Source organism: Homo sapiens, chromosome 6 (assembly GCF_000001405.40).
Source record: "Homo sapiens chromosome 6, GRCh38.p14 Primary Assembly".
Lineage (NCBI taxonomy): Eukaryota > Metazoa > Chordata > Mammalia > Primates > Hominidae > Homo > Homo sapiens.
In genome coordinates this window covers 89,552,895-89,571,827 of record NC_000006.12, presented here as the reverse complement: position 1 = coordinate 89,571,827, position 18,933 = coordinate 89,552,895, and the positions used below count along the sequence as shown (strand labels likewise).

General features: G+C 44.3%; 1 protein-coding gene across 38 annotated transcripts in view, besides 2 other annotated features; it reads right to left on the bottom strand.

Moving 5' to 3' along the window:
- ANKRD6 (ankyrin repeat domain 6) overlaps window positions 1–18,933 on the bottom strand; it is a 200,683-nt gene that overhangs the window by 62,007 nt on the left and 119,743 nt on the right. For 22 of the 38 annotated variants that reach the window (NM_001242811.1, XM_024446357.2, XM_024446359.2 and 19 more), the window contains exons 1-2: window positions 8,930–9,510; window positions 4,732–4,994 (exon numbers count right to left, since the gene is read on the bottom strand). The exons of 5 other annotated variants lie outside the window; for them this stretch is intronic. In NM_001242811.1, coding sequence (NP_001229740.1) covers window positions 4,732–4,851 — 120 coding nt within the window. In that variant the 5' untranslated portion in view covers window positions 4,852–4,994; window positions 8,930–9,510. Of the gene's footprint in view, window positions 1–4,731; window positions 4,995–8,929; window positions 9,511–18,933 lie in introns of those variants that run through there. 11 more of the 38 variants (NM_001242809.2, NM_014942.4, NM_001242813.1 and 8 more) reach the window with 2 other exon arrangements.
- Window positions 15,805–16,305: an enhancer, noted in NCBI's record as "NANOG-H3K4me1 hESC enhancer chr6:90265242-90265742 (GRCh37/hg19 assembly coordinates)". NCBI's record gives its function as "activates a minimal SCP1, AML or CMV promoter by ChIP-STARR-seq in naive H9 embryonic stem cells {active_cell/tissue: H9 hESC(naive)}" and the evidence as "EXISTENCE:reporter gene assay evidence [ECO:0000049][PMID:30033119]".
- Window positions 18,296–18,797: an enhancer, noted in NCBI's record as "OCT4 hESC enhancer chr6:90262750-90263251 (GRCh37/hg19 assembly coordinates)". NCBI's record gives its function as "activates a minimal SCP1, AML or CMV promoter by ChIP-STARR-seq in primed H9 embryonic stem cells {active_cell/tissue: H9 hESC(primed)}" and the evidence as "EXISTENCE:reporter gene assay evidence [ECO:0000049][PMID:30033119]".

Here is an 18,933-nt window from a genome sequence, read left to right as displayed (position 1 = left end):
CCATAGAATGTACAAGAATAAGCCGTAATGTAAACTATGGACTTTGGGTGATAATGATGCGTCAGTATAGGCTCACCAGTTGTAACAAATGTATCACTCTGGTGGCGGATGTTGATAATGGGATAGGTTAAACATGTTTAGGGGCGGGAGCAATACGGGAAATCTCTGGACCTTCCTCTCAATTTTGCTGTGAATCTAAAACGGCTCTAAAAAAGTACTCCTAAAGGCAACCACAGAATGAGAAAAAATGTTGCAAATCAAATATATGATAAAGGATTAATATCTAGAATATATAAAGAACTCTTACAACTCAACACCAAAAAAAATCAAATAACCAGATTAAACAATAGGCAAAGGACTTGAATAGCCATTTCTCCAAAGATGATACACAAATGGCAAACAAGCATATAAAAAGACATTTAATATCACTAATAATCAGAGACATGCAAATCAAAACCACAGCAAGATATCACCTCACACCCATTAGGAAGGTCAGTAAAAATAGTAGCACTTTGGGAGGCCAAGGCCAGCGGATCACGAGGTCAGGAGATCGAGACCACCCCTGGCTAACACGGTGAAACCTTATCTCTACTAAAAATAAAAAAAAAATTAGCCAGGCATCATGGCGGGCACCTGTAGTCCCAGCTACTCAGGAGGCTGAGGCAGGAGAATGGCGTGAACCCGGGAGGTGGAGCTTGCAGTGAGCCAAGATAGCACCACTGCACCCCAGCCTGGGCGACAGAGCGAGACTCCGACTCAAAAAAACAAACAAACAAAAACAGAAGGCAAGTATTGTCAAGGATGTGGAAAAGTGGGAACCCTTGTGCACTGTTGGTAGCACTGTAAAATGGTGCAACAGCCATGGAAAACAGTATGGAAGTTACCCAAAACTTTAAAAATAGAACTACCATATTTCACTTCTGAGTATATAACCAAAAGATATGAAAGCAAGGGCTCAAACACCCATGTATACCCATGTTCATACAGCAATATTCACAACAGGCAAAAGGCGGTAGCAACCCAAGTGTCCATCAGTGGATGAAGGGATAAACCAGATGTGGCATATACATAAAATGGATTATTATTCAACCTTAACAAAGAATGAAATTCTGGTACATGCTACATGAGTGAATCTTGAAAACACGCTAAGTGCAATAAGCTAGTCACAAAAGGACAATATGGTATGATTCCACTTATTTGAGGTGCGGCTAACAGTCAAATTCAGAGACAGGAAGTAGAATGGTGGGTGCCAGGGTCTGGGAGGAGGAAATGAGAAATTAGTGTTTAATGGGTATAGAGCTTCAGCTGGGGAAGACGAAAAATTTCTGAAGATGGATGGTGGTGATGGTTGCACAATAATGTGAATGTATTTAATGCCACTAAACTATACATTTAAAAATGGTTGAAGTAGTACATTTACTATGTATATTTTACCACAATAAATAAATTTTAAAAATATAAAAGAAAGGCCAGGCATGGTGGCTCATGCCTGTAATTCCAATACTTTGGGAGGCTGAGGAGGGAAGATCACTTGAGACCAGGAGTTCGAGACCAGCCTGGGCAACGTAGGGAGACCCTGTCTTAACAATTAACAGTGTGCATGCCTGTAGTCCCAGCTACACAGGGAGCTGAGGTGGGAGGATTGCTTGAACCTAGGAGGTGGAGGCTACAGTGAGCTATGTTCATGCCACTGCATTCCAGCCTGGGTGACAGAGGGGAGCATATCTTAAATAAATTATACACACACACACACACACACACACATATACACACATACACACACACGAGTATAACATAAATAAAATATTAAACTTGACTTCACTAAAAAAACTAAACTGTTGAATCAGGTGGTAGAACATACATATTCATTGGAAATATGGAGACAAATACCAGAAAAGAAACATCTAGAAGGCTGAAAGTTGTTTCTTTGGAGTGTAAATGGGACTGGGCTAAGGGATCACTGTTTTTATTAAAAACCTTTAGCAGTATTTGAACTAATAGTTTTAAAATTCCAATGGGAATCTTTGCTAAAGATAACTATGAAAAAGCAAATGATGTATAAAAAAAGACAGGCAAGCACTGGTGAGATTGTAGAGAAGCTGAAACCTTCATACATTGCTGGTAGAATGTAAAATGGTACAGGTATTCTGGAAAATAGCTTGGCAGTTTCTTAACGTGTTAAACAGATTTGCCATACGACCCAGCAATTCCACTCCTAGGAATATACTCTAGAGAACTGAAAACATATTTCCAACACAAAAACTTGTATATAAATTTTCACAAAAGCATTATTCATAATAGCCCCAAACTGGAATCAACCACAAATGTCCATCAACTGATAAAGAAATAAACAGAATATATGTATACAATGGATTATTACTCAGTCATGAAAAGGAATGAAGTACTGATACATGCTACAACAGAGATGAACCTTGAAAACTTTATGCTAAGTGAGAGAAGTCAGACACAAAAGACCACATACCATATGATTCTATTTACATAAAATGCCTAGAAAAGGTAAGTTTATAGAGACAAAAAGTAGATTCATGGTTGCCAGGAGCTGGGGGTGGGAATGGGAAGTGACAGCTACTGGGTACGAAGATTTTTACTAGGAGCCAGGCGCGGTGGCTCATGCCTGTAATCCCAGCACTTTGGGAGGCCAAGGTGGGTGGGTCACCTGAGGTCAGGAGTTTGAGACCAGCCTGGCCCAACACGGTGAAACCCTATCTCTACTCAAAATACAAAAATTAGGCAGGCATGTTGGTATGTGCCTGTAGTCCCAGCTACATGGGAGGCTGAGGCACAAGGATCACTTGAACCTGGGAGGTGGAGGTTGCAGTGAGCTCTCCTGCCTGGGCAACAGACGGACACACTGTCTAAAAAAAAAAAAAAAAATTATATATATATAAAATTTTCTATTGTGACAATAGAAATGTTCTAATATTTGAATGTGCTTATATTAGTCTTCTCAGGTTGCCAGAACAAGAGATTTGTTCCTCAGTTCTGGAGGCCGGGATGCGTGAGTTCAGGGTACCCGCGTGGTCAGGTTCCAGTGGGGGCCCTTTTCCTAGCTTGCTGATGACCACCTTCTCACTGTGTCCTCACATAGCAGGGAGAAGGAGAGACAGCAGACCCTGGTGCCTCTTCTTACATAGAAACTAATTTCATCACAAGGGCTCCACTCTCATGACCCCATTTAAAAACCTAATTACTTCCTAAAGGCCCTATATCTCTAAATACCATTAGGGATTAGGGTTGAAAAAAACGAATTTGGGGGAGAAACAATTCAGTGCATAGCAGTGGTGGTATAAATACGCTAGAAATTATTGAATTGTACAATTAAAATAGGTGAATTTAATGAACGTAAATTATATCTTAATAAAGCTGTTTATAAAATAGCAAATAATTAAGTCTATGTATAGAAAAAACTTGCAGACTATGCCCTAAGTGCATTAAATAAGTTATTGTTCTTATAACAATTCTGAAAAGCTGACATTACTATCCCTCTTTTACAGATAAGAAACTGAGGCTCAAAGAAGTTAAGCAACTTGCACAATTAGCAAACAAAGCAGAGTTAAAATCTGTGAGCAGGTGCCCTAACTACAGAGTCTGCACTCTCTCCCATTTGTGATTGCCTGGGCCCTGGAAAGTGCTATGGGTAGATCACACAAGCTCTGAGTTAAGGCCCCCTTCACCTTCAGTTCCAAACAATCCAATCACCATCTATGGGCAAACCCCTGTTCACCTCCATGGGGACCTACAAGTAGCTCAAGACCTCTCTGGAGGCCGGCATGGAATGTGAAAACTGCACATAAGTAAACATGAAAATAGGAGCTGACCGATCTGCCACAGGAGGTCAGAAGTTAACAGGTGACCTTCTATGAAAATTAAACTTTGCCCCTCTTCACAGCTCTTTCTGGGGAGGACTGGAGGTTGGGCTTCGGAGCCAGACTCTGTGGGTACAAGTTGCATTTCCACCACTCAGCGGCTGAGGGACCCTGGACAAGTTTCCTCCTCTCCAAAACAGGAATGAGAAGAGAATCTCTTCTAGAAGGCTGTAAAGTGCTTACAGCAATACTAGGGCTCAATAAGTGCTTGCTATCAGCATTACTTTGCCAGTGTATTTAAACTCTCCCTCTAGCTGCGCGGAGCCTGCCTTTTCTTGGCTTTGCTACAAAACTGCCTTTGGCCAGTATGGTCTCTTATCTTTCATAGTCTTCTCTGTTGGCGCAGGGTAAGCAATGCCCTCCAAAGCTTACCACCCATCTTCACTGACCCACATGAAATCAAAGCCTATAGAGGTTGTAGCAGTCATCTGGTCCAGGCCGTCATCATACAGACGGGGACAATGAGACTCTGCACAGTGGAGGGGCTGTGTACAAGCTGGTCCACCTCCCCGGGAGGCCCATCTAACGTGATTATCGCACACTCTGTCCAGTAAGCTTTTGTGTCCCAACTTCTCCCAAGAGATCTCCTCTCCATTTAGCTAAAGAAATAGGTGAGAAAAGCCACCGTGATTTTAAAGACTGTCAAATGCTAATTACAAGTTGCTCCACTTGAAAGATGGCAACAAAAGCATTCTTAATAATCCTCCTTCTCCCCAAACCTCCATCATTGGAAGAAAAGCCAGTTCTTTGAAAGCTGTGAACCAAACACAGCAGTTTTTCAGACAATGGTTAAGAGGTAGGCCAGTTCCCAGGGAATGGCTACAGCGTATTTTTCTCTTGTTACCTTGGTAACCGCTACCCTGGCGCCCTTGTTGATGAGCTGAACCACATTCTCTGTTTGGCCTTTGTACGCAGCTACGAGAAGGCGCTCTGAAAGTGCAGCGACCGCATCTTGCTGGCTCATGAATTAGGAAAGAAAGGTTTTCAGGGAAGCGGTAGACAAGTTCCTTCAGCTCAACACGAAGTCACTGGCCCGGCCTGGCACCCAGAGGTAAAGATGTTCACAATCATCAGAAGATGTCTTTATGAATATGCCATCTTCGGGACCTAGGGGTTACAAAACAAAGGTGCCATCAGGGCCACTTGACACACAAGGACAGGTCACACCTCTTCTCTGTGATTTTAAGGCATTCTGCTGCTTGCATGTTGCAGGGGAGGGTAGCTGTGGGAGGCAGGACACACAGGAAGCACACTCCACAGCAAAGCCCCTGAACAGAACTTCCAAGTGGAAGGCAGCAGAATGTGCCAACTTCCCTCCCTTCTTCCCCTATCAGGGACATCCTCCGGAGGAGTATGGCCAGAACTGCAAGGTTTGCTCTGTTTTTCTCCCAGGGAGCGGAGGCCTGGTATAATCCCCTAAGCACCACCTGGTTTACACACCGCCTTTGGCAGGGAACTGTACCGTGTGTGATCATCAAAGGCCCCCTGGTTGGATTTTGTGCGTCCACCATGGCTAACGTGCCGCTTCCCCAGTGGGTCAGTGGCCTGTGGAACACACCCCACAGAGACCCTGCTGAGTGGGTTCTCTCTTTGGGGTTTTCTCCTAGCATTTACTGCAGTTCTCTCCCTTCAACCTTTTTTCACCGTAAATAGTGTAGTTCACGAGTTCTGGAACAGATGGAGAGCTGGGCACAGGCCTGGGCCAATTCCTTGTTCCAAGTGGCTGAAACAATCCACCTTGGGGACAACACAGATGCTAAACACTAACAGTGGCTCTGCCAATGCAGGGGGCTGGTCATGTTGCTTCCTTGCTAACAGGAGGAAAAGAAGTGGCACCAAAACCACCTATGGAACACTAAAGCCCTGTCGCAGAGCAGTGATCTGGAGGGTAGTAACTAGTAGCAAACTGAATTCTTCCTACCACATAGCAAAATGAAGAGAATTTTAAAGACTGGGACTCCCCCCAGTATACCTGGGCTGCCATTAGACCCAACCAAAGCCACTGGTAATTATTTCAAGGGTGAATGGTAGAAGAAGAAATACTTAAATGTCTAATCCAGTCCTGCTAGAACAGCAAGGAAGTGAGGGCTTCTTTGCATTTTAAAAGATACTTATTAAAAATACTAGTACATACAAATGGAAAGAAAATGCTACAACAGAGATACCATCCTTCAACCCAAACCCTACCACACATCCTAACTCTGAAGGTCTGGAAGATGCAGCCATCCTTTACATTTGTTCCCAGGCACACCCAAATGTCCTTTCAGTCTCTAAAGATTAAGGAATTGGCCATGATACGGCTGGAAAGCCCTGGACCATATCCTGTTTGAACTCGTTCACCGTGGCATTCAGGCAGGTTGTTTGGCCAACCACTCTGTGAGGCTAGGGTTAAATGCCCACGTATAAAACAGACATGAGAACATTTATCTCCCAGGACTGTGGTGGGTATTAAAGAGGGTATTTTATTATGTGAAAGTATGGCCCAGATGTGAATACTGTAACTTCGGAAAGAATTCTTACCCCCCACTCTTGTGAATTATCAAACTTTCTCATCATTCTCCATCTGTTGCTCAAAATGCAGGTAAAGAATAGCAGAAAAAGAGAGAGGAACTCTCGCAAACCCATCCTGCTCCTGCTCACTGGGTCATTAGAAACAAAACAGATCTGGTGAAGGGTCTGCTGTAAAGCAGCTTGGTGAGTCACGGTCTGAGATCCCTGGGATATGCCAGAAATAGAACAAGCCAAAAAAAAAAAGAAGGAATAAAGTTGAGACTCAAAACACTGAAAGTAATGGAACTGGAAATGCCTTTGAAAATTCTCATGGTCACGCTGAACGGCCACAGTCTGGGCTTTATCTTTCCCAGACCGTTACACTATTTGAAGTGGTTTGTTTTTAAAAACATAGGTGCGCTGCCTCTTTTCATTCAGGTAATCTGTGCTTTGTTCAAACCAATTATACTGAGCTTCTGCTCTGTTTGCCCAAATATTGCAAAATCACTCCAGGCCTAAATGGCAGGAAAATAGAGTATTAGCCATGACTTATGAAATGATCTCCCTTCCACAGCCACACCCTCCCCCCCGTCATCTACCCATTTGTTAACTCTAGACACTAGACCCAACGGCCCCCTTCCATTCTAGAACCTTTCTTGCAATGGGTATTTAAATGTCTCAAGTACAACAGCCCAGTTCATACAAACATTTTCATGGCTAAAATTCTACTCATTCTGCTCCATGGCTTAGCCCCTGAGGGTAGAGGTTTTTTTTGCTGCAACCTCAGTACAGCCCATCAGTTGAGGTCACAAGCTCCACACCAGCAGTGCTGTGCAGCCTCCTCAGCAATGGATGCAGGGGTCCAGCTGGCCCATAGTAAATTGATAGCCACTCCCCTCCCACCCTCCAGTCCCATGCAATGAATTCAGCCTCCTGGATACTGAGACTGAAGTACACTTATGCCATAGCTGCAGGCTACTGAGATAGCCTTGTTTAGATAATTACCACTGGTAAACAGCCCTTTGCAAGCACAGCCCACATTAATTTTCCTTTTTGTTTGGTTAAAGATAGAAAAATACTACAGTGGTGAGAAAACATTGGCCAAGCAGAAACACCCTTCTATTTTTTTGCTTTTCAGTTACAGCTACTTAAGAATGTTCCTCTCTCATTCCATCCCCTCCACCATGACCAAAGCACCCACAGAGCAGCCTCCAGAACAGGTCCCTCACACAGGACTTTGGATACTCTCCCTACCAGAGTCATACAGAAAACTGCCTGCAAGATCAGGAACAGAACCCCAGCTTTCCAATTCCTAGTCTGTTGCCAACACCATCCCTATGTGCTTGGACATCTCAAACTCATTTTCAATTTAAGCCCAGTAATCGCCTCCTTACTAGGATCTCCAGCCTTCACCTGCAGGTGCATTTACACACAGTTTGTGGGTGGGAAGGTATCAAATGAGGGTCTTCTTTTCTGCTTCCTTTCTGCTTCTTCCTGCACCTTCAGCCTTGGGTGTGGGTGCAGGCCCAGCAGAGATACCAGGTGCAGGCCAAGCAGAGACACCACCTCTCTCCCTCCCTCATGGTCACTGTTCCTAAGTCCCAAATCCTTACCTCCCATCTAGAACAATGATACCCATTCCTTAGAGTGAGAAGACACTCTGCTTCTTCTCATCTGATGCCCTGACCTGACAAATTGGACCAGATAGAGATGTGTGTGTTGCAGGGGTGGGGGGCAGTTTAAGAAGGGATGGGGGAACCCCTGACAGTAAATTGGGAGGGAAAGGGAATAGAGGGGTGAAACCAGTCTTGAATCAAAGAGTTAAACTTCACTGCCAACCTGTTGGCTACCTTGGCTGTAGCAGTTCATCCCCTCCTTATATCTGAGCCTCCTCTTCCAAGTAGATCAGCTATCATTCAAGATACTTCCCATTGCTGGCAGTGAGAAATGTATTCTGCCCCAAGCCTATCAATTACACCCCTCTTTGTCACAATGTTCATTTTTCACAGCATTCTGGAGGAAAACCTTAAACGCAAACACGCTGCCCATTCTTTAAGCAAAAAGGAAATAAACACATGAGCATAAGTATGCAATGCACATTCTGAATCTAGATAGGGATTTAGCTTGCTAAGATTTCCCTCCATCCTCCCAGCCCACTGCCCCATTTTTGTTGCTCTGTAATTTGCTAATTCTTTTGTCTCTCATCACAAATACCAGAGGGTCACACAGCTGCTTGTCTGTGATGCAATCAGTTTTCTTTTTACAGAAAAAGGTCTATAAGGTTTGCTTTTGCTGTTCTCTTGGGGCTTTACAACAAATTCTCCTATACTTTGGAGAATTTGCCAATATCCTAAAGCCACTACGTTCTGTCTCCCGACAAGCAAAATATTCCAGAAGAGACCTGCAAATAAAAGTCCCGGCCAGGCATTATGTACAACCCACCCAGAGATGGCCCACAGGCACCCAGGAACTGGTGGCTATGGAGCGCCATCAGCTATAAACTAGCTTTGCTCCTACTGCTCCAAACCTTGTGTTGAAGAGATGGTACTCACATCCGAGGGGCTGTCCTCTCTGTTCTACATCGTGTTCAGTTTCTGGATAACTGTGGTCAATTCTTTCCTGGAGAGATCATTAGCTTCCTAGGGCTGTCACTCCCAGCAAATCTGCAGTGATTTACGTTACAATGTTCGCTGCCTTTTCCCGTTAGCCTCCTCTGCTGATGCTGGCCAAATCACATCTAAAAGCTTATTAAGACATCCATTCAGCTTGCAATGTTTTGTGGCTTGCTAGTCTGCTCGTCACAGCTTCTGAAAGTCTTGTGTCTGCAGATTTTCACGGACTGCTCCCTCCTGCCAGCAGAGGACCTGTAACACTGCCCCGATTGAAGTCAGGGAACAATTCACAGATCGGAGGAACATTTCTGAATGACGCTCAGATGACAGAGAAACGAAGTTTGCATAATTTCAGCAGTAATGCAAGAAAAGATGAGTGTGCGTGTTGTAAGGGAGGGAGGGATGCAGAAAGGGTTGAAATCTGTAATAAACTGCCTCCAAGAAAACAGGAAAATGCTTGCTTTGTGGGAGCAGCGGAGCCCAGACACTCCACCCTCCTCGGCAGAGAGTTCCAGCACAGTGACTGCGGCAGCACAGGAGACAAGGGTCTGGCTGAGCAGCTGTTCCCGACGTTTGTCTCACAAATACTCCTCTGAACAGTCTCTGCCGGGGAGGGGGAAGGGAGTAAACAGGGAACTGAGCCCCTTCAGAAGCTGTTCTGAGTGCTGTCGACTGCCCTAAACTTGTAAGCGTGTGCTCCAGCCCACTTGTTGAAGCAACAGAAATCTAATTCCCACCTGGAGAGATCATAGAAAGGAGAGGGCTTTCATTTTGACTTGAGCCAATATCCCCACATTTTCCTCTCTGTCTCTAAAGACAGAATTTTTGGTCCCAGAGATGGGGAAATTACTCTGTCAGTACAAACCCTCTTACCACCTGCCGTCCTAAAGCATTGCCCTATTTCCCCAAGGGTAATGGGGCAATGGAATGGACTGCAATCCTGCTTTGGTCATCATTTGCCTTACACCAAGGGCAGGAGAATAGCTGGAGACTCTGGTGGGTGCATTGCAAAGAGGCTGAATCCCACTGGGGAAACAAATTGCCAGCAGAATAACACAAGCTTAAAAAAAAATATACAACCATCATACTAGTTATCCAAAAGCAATCACTACTGGGTTACTGTGATCACCACTGGGGGACAAGTAAGGCTGCAACAGAGAGGAATGTGACTCAATCCGTACTTTAAAGAAACTCATCATCTGGCCACTGAAAAGCCACGATCAGGGACCAAAAGTCCAGTTGCCAGAAGATAAGTGTAAACTGAGTGGGAAGGAAGAATAAAGCAAGGAGTGGTTCATTTTCTTACAGCTTCCAGAACACTTCCTCCTTCTGAGAAGATCTACTCCCACAGGTAGGGCCCTTAACACAGTACTACCTATGAGGACACTCAGCACTGACTGCTCACGGAACCTGGTGCCCACCAGGACTATTTGCGAAAGAAGGGAAATGACAGGGTGGACACGCTCTGCTTTAGCAAGCCCATGACTCATTATAAATACACCCCACTGTCACAAAGAAACAAGTATGTTTATTTCTTGAGCCATTTAAAGCACAAAAACTCTCTTCTTCTAACTCTGTCACTGAATCTTTTGAAATAACCACCTCTGCAGGAGGCATAGAGGCTGTTACAGTGAAAGCTGAGTGACATCTGAATATTATTCAGGAAACCTGTGACATACCCTTCCAAGAAAAGCTGCTTACAGATGTAAAAATCACATAGGAGGAATAAGCACATATCACCGAATAAAGATGTGACTGACAGAAGGCTTGGGAGGTAGAGACCGTCCCTTTTTATGTAGGACAATAACTTATTGACTGACCAGCACTGCTAGACCACCAGAGCCTCCAAGTCAGGGCTGGGCACTCCCATCACTTGGCAAATGACCATGCGCATACTCAAAGTTCAGACCAAGTGTTATCTCTGCTAAGCCTTCTGCTGTCCCTGCCTTGCCCTAGACAAGATGACCATTCCCTCATCTGTGCACCTACCGTTTTTCTTTTTTCTTTTTTTTTGGAGACAAAGTCTCGCTCTTGTCCCCCCAGGCTACAGTGCAATAGCGCAATCTCGGCTCACTGCAACCTCGGCCTCCCAGGTTCAAGTGATTCTCCTGCCTCAGCTTCCCGAGTAGCTGGGATTACAGACGACTACCATGATGCCCGGCCAATTTTTGTATTTTAGCAGAGACGGGGTTTCACCATGTTGGCCAGGCTGGTCTCAAACTCCTGACCTGAGGTGATCCAAACGCCTCAGCCTCCCAAAGTGCTGGGATTATAGGCGTGAGCCACCGTGCCCAGCCAGCACCTACAGTTTTCTATAAGCTTCTGCTATGAACTGAATTGCGTCCCCCAATTCATATGTTGAAGCCCACACCCCCAGTGTGACTGTATTTGGAAATAGGAGATAATTAAGGTGAATTTGGTCATAAAGGTGGAGCCCTGATCTGATAGAATTAGCGCACTCATGCTTGCACACGTACTCTGAGTGTGCACACACAGAAGAACAGCCATGTGAGGACAAAACAGCCCATCTGCAAGCCAAGAAGACAGCCATCACCCGAAACTGAACCCTGCTGGACTTTGATCTGGGACTTCTAGCCAGAAGAACTGGAAAGTAGAACTGGAAGAAAATAAATTTCTGTTGTTTAAGCCACCCAGTGTGTGGTATTTTGTTATGGTAGCTCAAGCAGACATGGTAGCTCAAGCATAATTGCTGTTATAGGCTCAAGGTTGGTCTCCCTGGTTATATGAACTCCTTGTGGCAGGAACCCCGTTTTGGTCATCTTGTATCCCCAGAGCCTATCATGGTGCCGGGAACACAGATGGCCTTTAATGTCCATTTAATGAATGACAGAAAAACCAATAATCAATTTATTTTTAGTCATCAATTGGTCTTCAGGAGCCTGTGATCCCGTAAGAAATATATGAGGTACTCACCTAGTCAACTAATCTTTTTCCTTTCCAAATAGATGAGGCAGGCTCTGGCTCCAGACCCTCCAAAAGATAGCAGAGAAGGGACATGGTCTTTCTCCTCTCTCCCTTCCCCCTCAAAATAGAGGACTACAGTTTCTGGGGCCAAAAAAATTATCACTCTAGAGGCATCCTTTATTCAGTGAGACAGGCCTGTCAGCACCAGAGCATTGGACAGCACCACGGCCACTCTGGGAATTTCTTCTCACCACCCTCAACCCCTGTTAGGTAAAGATCCAAATGCTAAAGACAAATCAAAATAATTAACACAGCATCACAATAAAACCAATTCTATGTACTCAAATCTCAATTTCTACCCATTGCTTAAATCTGCTCTGATCTGGCTTTTCTGTCCCCAGTTTTTCCACTGAAACCATTTTTGTTATTTATTTTGTGGAGTACCAAGCATATATTGAAGAGATGGGCATAAGGAACTGTGGAAACTGGGAGAGGGATCATTCTTGCTTGCTGTGCTGGGGTGAAAGGAGGTCAGGAAAGTTTTCACAGAGAAGGTAGTGTGTTAGAGGAGGTAGGATCTGGTTAGGTTAGAAGGGGAGAAGACACAGGCAGAGGAAACAGCAAGAGCAAAAAGGCAGAGTGGTCTGAAAGTATGTGTCATGAGTAGCAAAGAAAGGCAAAGAGACAACTGCAGCTGGAGCTTGTAACACGGCAAAGACCAGTGATGGTGTTAGAAAATGAGGTGGCAGTCAGGCAGTGAAAAATTTTCACATCATGCCAAATTACTTGAACTGCATCTTACACTTGTGATGGAGAGCCCTAGGAGTTGGCAAGAAGAGTGGCTAGTCATATTTTTGTTCTACTTGTAACACAAGCATACAGAATTAATTATAATTATGGTTTTATGCTACACTCTCAAGATTGTATATGCACGGCTTTCTCTTTCTTCCTGCCCTGTTTCCTCCTTCATTTATTTCTTCTATTCCATCCTTTCCTCTCCTTTTTATCTTCACTGATAGACTTTTAGAGCGATTTTAAGTTTACAGAAAAATTGGGCAGAAAGTTCAGAGTTCTCATATAGCCCTTTGCCCACCCCCACCCCTACAGATTTCCCTTTTAATAACATCTTGTATTAGTGTGATACATTTGTTACAATTGATGAGTCAATATTGATACAGTATTATTAACTAGAGTCTGTGGTTTGCATTAGGGTTCACTCTGTGTTGTACAGTTCCATGGGTTTTGACAAATGAATAATACCATGCATCTGCCATTAAAGTACCACAAAGAGTAGTTTCACTGCCCTAAAACTCCCCTGTGCTCTGCCTATTCATCCCTCTCTTGCCCCAAAGCTCCCGGCAACCACTGATCTTTTTACTCTCTCCAGAGTTTTGCTTTTTCTATAATTCTGTGTGGCTGGAATCATACAGTGTGTAGCCTTTTCAGACCGGCTTATTTCCCCTAGTAATATGCATTTAAGGTTCCTCCTTGCCTTTTCATGGCTCATTTCTTTCTGGTGCTGAATAATATTCCATTGTATACCATAATATTCCATTGTACCACAATTTGCTTTTCTATTCATCTACTGAAGGACATTTTGGTTGCTTCCAAGTTTCAGCAATTACAAATAAAAATGCTATAAACATTCATGTGCAGGTTTGTGTGGACATAAGTTCCATCTCATTTGCATAAATAACAAGGAGTACAATTGCTGGGTAATATGGCAGCACAGCGTTTAGCTTTGTAAGAAATGTCTATACTGTCTTCTAACACAGCAGTCCTCAAACTTTTTGGCACCAAAGACCAGTTTAATGGAAGACAGTTTTTCCACAAACTCAGCAGTGGGGAACAATGGTTTCAGGATGATCCAAGCACATTACATTTATGGTACACTTTATTTCTATTATTACATTATAATATATGATGAAATAATTATACAACTCACCATAATGTAGAATTGGTGGGAACCCTGAGCTTGTTTTCCTGCAACTAGATAGTTCCATATGGGGGTGACAGGAGACAGTGACAGATCATCAGGCATTAGATTTTCATAAGGAGAACATGACCCAGATCCCTTACATGTGCAGTTCACAGTAGGGTTCACACTCCTATAAGAATCTAACGCTGCCGCTGATCTGACAGGAGGGGGAGCTCAGGCAGTAATGCAAGTGATGGGGAGCAGCTGTAAATACAGATGAAGTTTCACCTGCTTGCCTGCTGCTCACCTCCTGCTGTGTGGCAAGGTTCCTAACAGGCCACGGACAAGTACTGGTCCACGGTCTGGGGGTTAGGGACCCCTGTTCTAACATGTCTGTACCATGTTGCACTCCCACCGGCTGGTTTTACATTGACGTAATTGCCAAATGCAATAGTAACTTTTTGACTCTTCCTTTACATGATTTCTCTGTTGCACTGGGCCCTGCTACCATCCCTCCCTCAAAATTCCTCCTCCTTGGTTCCTGTGAGCCATTCTCTCCTCATTCTCCTAACCATCCCTTGGACGATTCCTTTCTTCCACTGAATGCTTTTTTCACTGACACCTTAAATGTTGCAGGTCCTTGAGGTTTTTGGGCATCTTCTCTGCTCATTTTCTTCTCTAGATCTCAGTGCTCCCCCTCCCTTCTGCTCACATGCTCCTCTGCTGCCTAGATACAGATTCCTCTGAGTCTACTTCTTTACCCTCAATCACGTTCTCTGAAGCTCTATATTTAAACACCCAACCACCTACCAGACATCTTCCTTGGATGTCCCCCATCAATGTATTCACAACCAAATCACCATCCTTCCTCCCAAACCTGTTCCTTTTCCTGTGTCCTCACCTTGATGAGGGGCTCCATCTTTCATCTAGCTATCTATTTCCCTAATCTGGAACATTCCTCCCCCATTTCTCTTCTTCCCCTTCCCCCTATCCCACATTCACTAAACCACCAAATCATCCTGATTTGAGACAGTAAGGCCTAGAGACTAAAAATATAAGCTTTGAAGTCAGACTGCCTGGGCTCAAATCCCAGCTCTGCCACTTACTTTGGGCAAATTTCTTAATGACTCTGAGTCTGTTTCTGCACATGTAAAATAGAAGGGATAACAGTTCCTACCTCATTAGGTTGTTGCAAAGATTGAATGAGATAATGCACATTTTATTCAATGCCCGCCACATAGAAAGTGCTCAGTTAACATAAGCATGGTTCTATGGTTACTGTTTAGATGTTCCTTGATCTGTTCCATCTTCTTTAGCTGTACTGCCACTGCCTTAAGTTGTCATCATTTCTTACCTGGGTTATTGCAACGGTCTCTAACTGAATGTTGCTAATGTTTCTTGAAATTCTGTGATTATCTAAACTTAGAAATTGGGACAAGAGGTAAAGCAGGTTTCAGCTTATATATGGAAATCTGCTTCTGCAGATGGGTTTTCACTTAGGGAAAAACAGAAGCCAAAGCCAGACTAATATTCAGGATTCAGATAGTGAGTGTGCTTTGTCTCAAAACAGGTCCTCAATAAAAGATAACTTTATACAAGTCAGCACAAGCTGGTCAGCTAGTTCTTGGGATTTCTTTAACTTGACTCCCAGGAAAGACAGAACCATTGAGCCCATGGTGGTTAAATTCTCTGTGCTCTGTCTGGATCTTAGAGGGCAATGAGCCAATGAGAGGCAAGTTCCTGCTTTATGTTGTGTCAGTGTTAGAAGAAAGGGATAATGAGAACCTAGCCCTTCCCCTTCAGTTTGTTTCAAGATGGCAAAGGTTGAGAACAGACAGCTGAGCTGCAATGCAGTAGGAGCCACTGCCACTGTGCCCACTTGCCAGGGGGCAGACTGCTGGCGGTGTTTGCTAGGTCTATGGTGCCTTTATCTATGGACTGCTCTTCCTCTGTGCCTCTTGTCAGAGTGTTTTATGTAAACAGACCATACAGGGGGCTAGTGGGACTGCTAATTATGGGCTGAATTTGCATGTAAAAGCCATTCTGCCACGTTACTCTCCCTGCCTCAAGTCCTGCCCTCTCCCTCCCCCGCCTTGATTTATGTGATCCCTGATGTTACAGTGCTCTTTTCACAACACAAATGTGATTGTGTTTCTCCTCTCCTTGGAACCTCAGTGACACATATTTCCCCCAGAACAAAGTCCAGAGATATACAAATCCATGCATAGTCTCATCCCAGTCTGTTTCCAACCACCTTTTCTTCTGATACCTCTCCCCCGCTGCATCCTGCACCCTAGCTTGGCCAAAAGGTACTTAGAGCACCTTGAAAGCCCCACCATGTCATTTTTGCTTAGAATTCTCTTTAAATCTTGTCCAAACTCCTTCTTAGACTTCAAAGATACCTGATTCAAAGGCGTCCTCCTCTTAAAGGTTCTCCTAATACTCTTCCAACCTCCAGGGTCCCAAGGGTGAAATCACCCTGCCCTGAGCTCAAATCCCAGGTCTGCTACTGATTTTGAGCAAGTTTCTTAATGACTATAAGCCCACTCCCTTATGTATAAAATAGGAATAACTACAGTTTTTACCCACTGGGTTGCTGCAAAAATTGAATGAGGCCAGCACAAAATAATGTATTTTTAAAATCTCACTGTAATACTTATCAAACTGGACTGCAATTGTGTGATGTCAGTACTGTTGGCCTCTCTTCTTATATTCTAAGTAAAAAGGCTTCTCCATGTGCCTCTCCTTCTAAGGAGACTGTCCTAACCAGAGAAATTCCTGGGCTTTAGGATGTAGACTTAGAGGACAAGCGGGAGAGTTGAGATAGAATAAAGCTGACTTGTCAAGGGAGGCTAAGCCCATCTATATAAAAAAACGCTGAGGCGGGGGAGGGGGGAGAGAGGGGGGAGGGAGGAGAGGATGAGAAGAGAAGGGGGGGAGGAGAGGATGGAGAGAAAGCGGGGAGGGAGGAGAGGATAGAGAGAGGCGGAGAGGGAGAAATGAATGTGCCATGCAGAATGGGGGAATGTGAGAGAATTAGGAAAGAAAACCAGGATATGAACATTGTACTATGGGGTTATATTTTGGATTTCCTTTACTTTTGAGAACAAGAAGTTATTAAAATGCATTTACAAGTTAATTTTGGTCTTCGGATTGTGCTTCTTTGAATATCTTCTTACAAACACTGGACCATGAGAGACTGAAATTCTCTCAGGTTAGTCTTGTGTACAATGTCTTTCCTCTCAGACTCTGAGCTTCTCCAGCACAGGGGCTGTGTCTCATTCCACTATGTAAGTTCAATGCAACCACACAGCCTGTCACACGAACAATACGTGGCATGGAAACAATACAGGCTTATTGGATAAATAAACACATCTATATTCACCTAACTGCATTACAGACTCTTAGAGAGCTGATACCTTCTCTTACTTTTTCATGTTTCCAGATAAACTAATAGAATTCTATAGTGAACTGAATGGTGGGTCCCCAAAAGATATGTCCATGTCTTAGTCCCCAGAATCTATATTAATTTATATGACAAAAAAAAAAGACGTGATTAAGTTAATCCGTTGATGTCCTGGATTATCTGGGTGGGTAGTCACATGTGTCCTTTATAAGAGAGGCAGAGTTTTGAGACAGAAGAAAAAGAGGCCATGTGACCACAGAGGCAGAGAATGGAGTGATATGGCCACAAGCCAAGGAACCCTGGAGCTACCAGAGAATGGAGGATACAAGGGAACAGTCTCCTCCAGAGGCAATGCGACCTCACCAGTGGCTTGATTTCAGACTCTGCCCTCCAGAACTGTGACAGCATAAATGTCTGTTGTTTCCAGCCATGTCGTTTGCAGTGGTTTGTTACGGCAGTCAAAGGAAATAGGAATGCCTTCTACGTAATGGATGCTCAATAACTCTTCACCAATTACTTGTCTCAGCCACTGAAAATCACAGGCTGTGCTCCCTTTTTGAAGTCACTCACACCCCCCCATCTTTAGGGCCAAGAACCAGAGCTCCAATATGTCACTTCAACACCTGTAAATACTTTGTAACCTAAGGGTCCCTTGCTGCTGTTTGAAGGATGGTCAGGTTCCAGGGGCAAGAGTAGTCCTACTGGCTACATATCCTTCATACAATTTCATACACTTTATATGTACTTCTACATATTAATTATCCATCACTCATTCCTTTGTGAGGGAGAAAGTAAGGTGGGGAAGCACTTGATATGGGCATGATGTCAGCAGGAGAAGTGGGTCCTGCTGGTGAGGGCGAGACGAGAGGCACGCTGGCTGGGGTCTCTCCAGCTGCCAGCTGAGTCAGACTGAGTCCTCAGTAATCTCCCACAGGAAACACCACTGAACTGAAATGAGCGTGACAGCCTGTCACTTTCCAATTCTGCACCATAAGCTTGAAAAAACCAGGAAGCTGCTCTGCTAGCGGGGAATTAAATGTCTGACTATAATCCTGCAAACATAGTCCTGAATATGGCAAAGGGAAGCCTTTGCTTCCCATAAACATGAATATCTACTCAGAAGTAAACACCAACTGTGATTTGCTACTCTAATTTGGTTTCCAACAGTATTTCTTCTACGCTATCCCACAGAGGACAGAGGCCTTCTCCCAGGGCTGGAGGACACCTGCAAGTCAGTGAGCCCGCCATCCTCAGGCACACGCTCAATCTCTCCCAGTGACACATACTTGCTTCTGCTATCAGTCGGCTGTGTGACCCTCCTCCAGAAATGGTGTTTCTGACTCTTCTGGGCCTGGTTTTCATTCCAGGAGTCCCATTTTATTCAATCATTCTGCCACTGAGGCATTTCTTGAAATGATATCCATCTGATGCTAGATTATTCCAGATACTATGACACACACTGCTCTTCCCTCTCATCCCTCACTCTCCCTAACCCACATGACCTTCTCTCACAGCTCTCTGCAGCTATCAACATGCATGTCCAGGTTAGGTGTGATTTTCCGCTGATAATGTCTACCACCTGTGAGAGGTGACATCATGGTCTGGAAACACCGGTACTACATGGACTGTCCACACCACTATCCACAAAAGACTCCGCTAGGTCCCCTTCTCAATTCTCTTCCAAGGTTGGCTGAG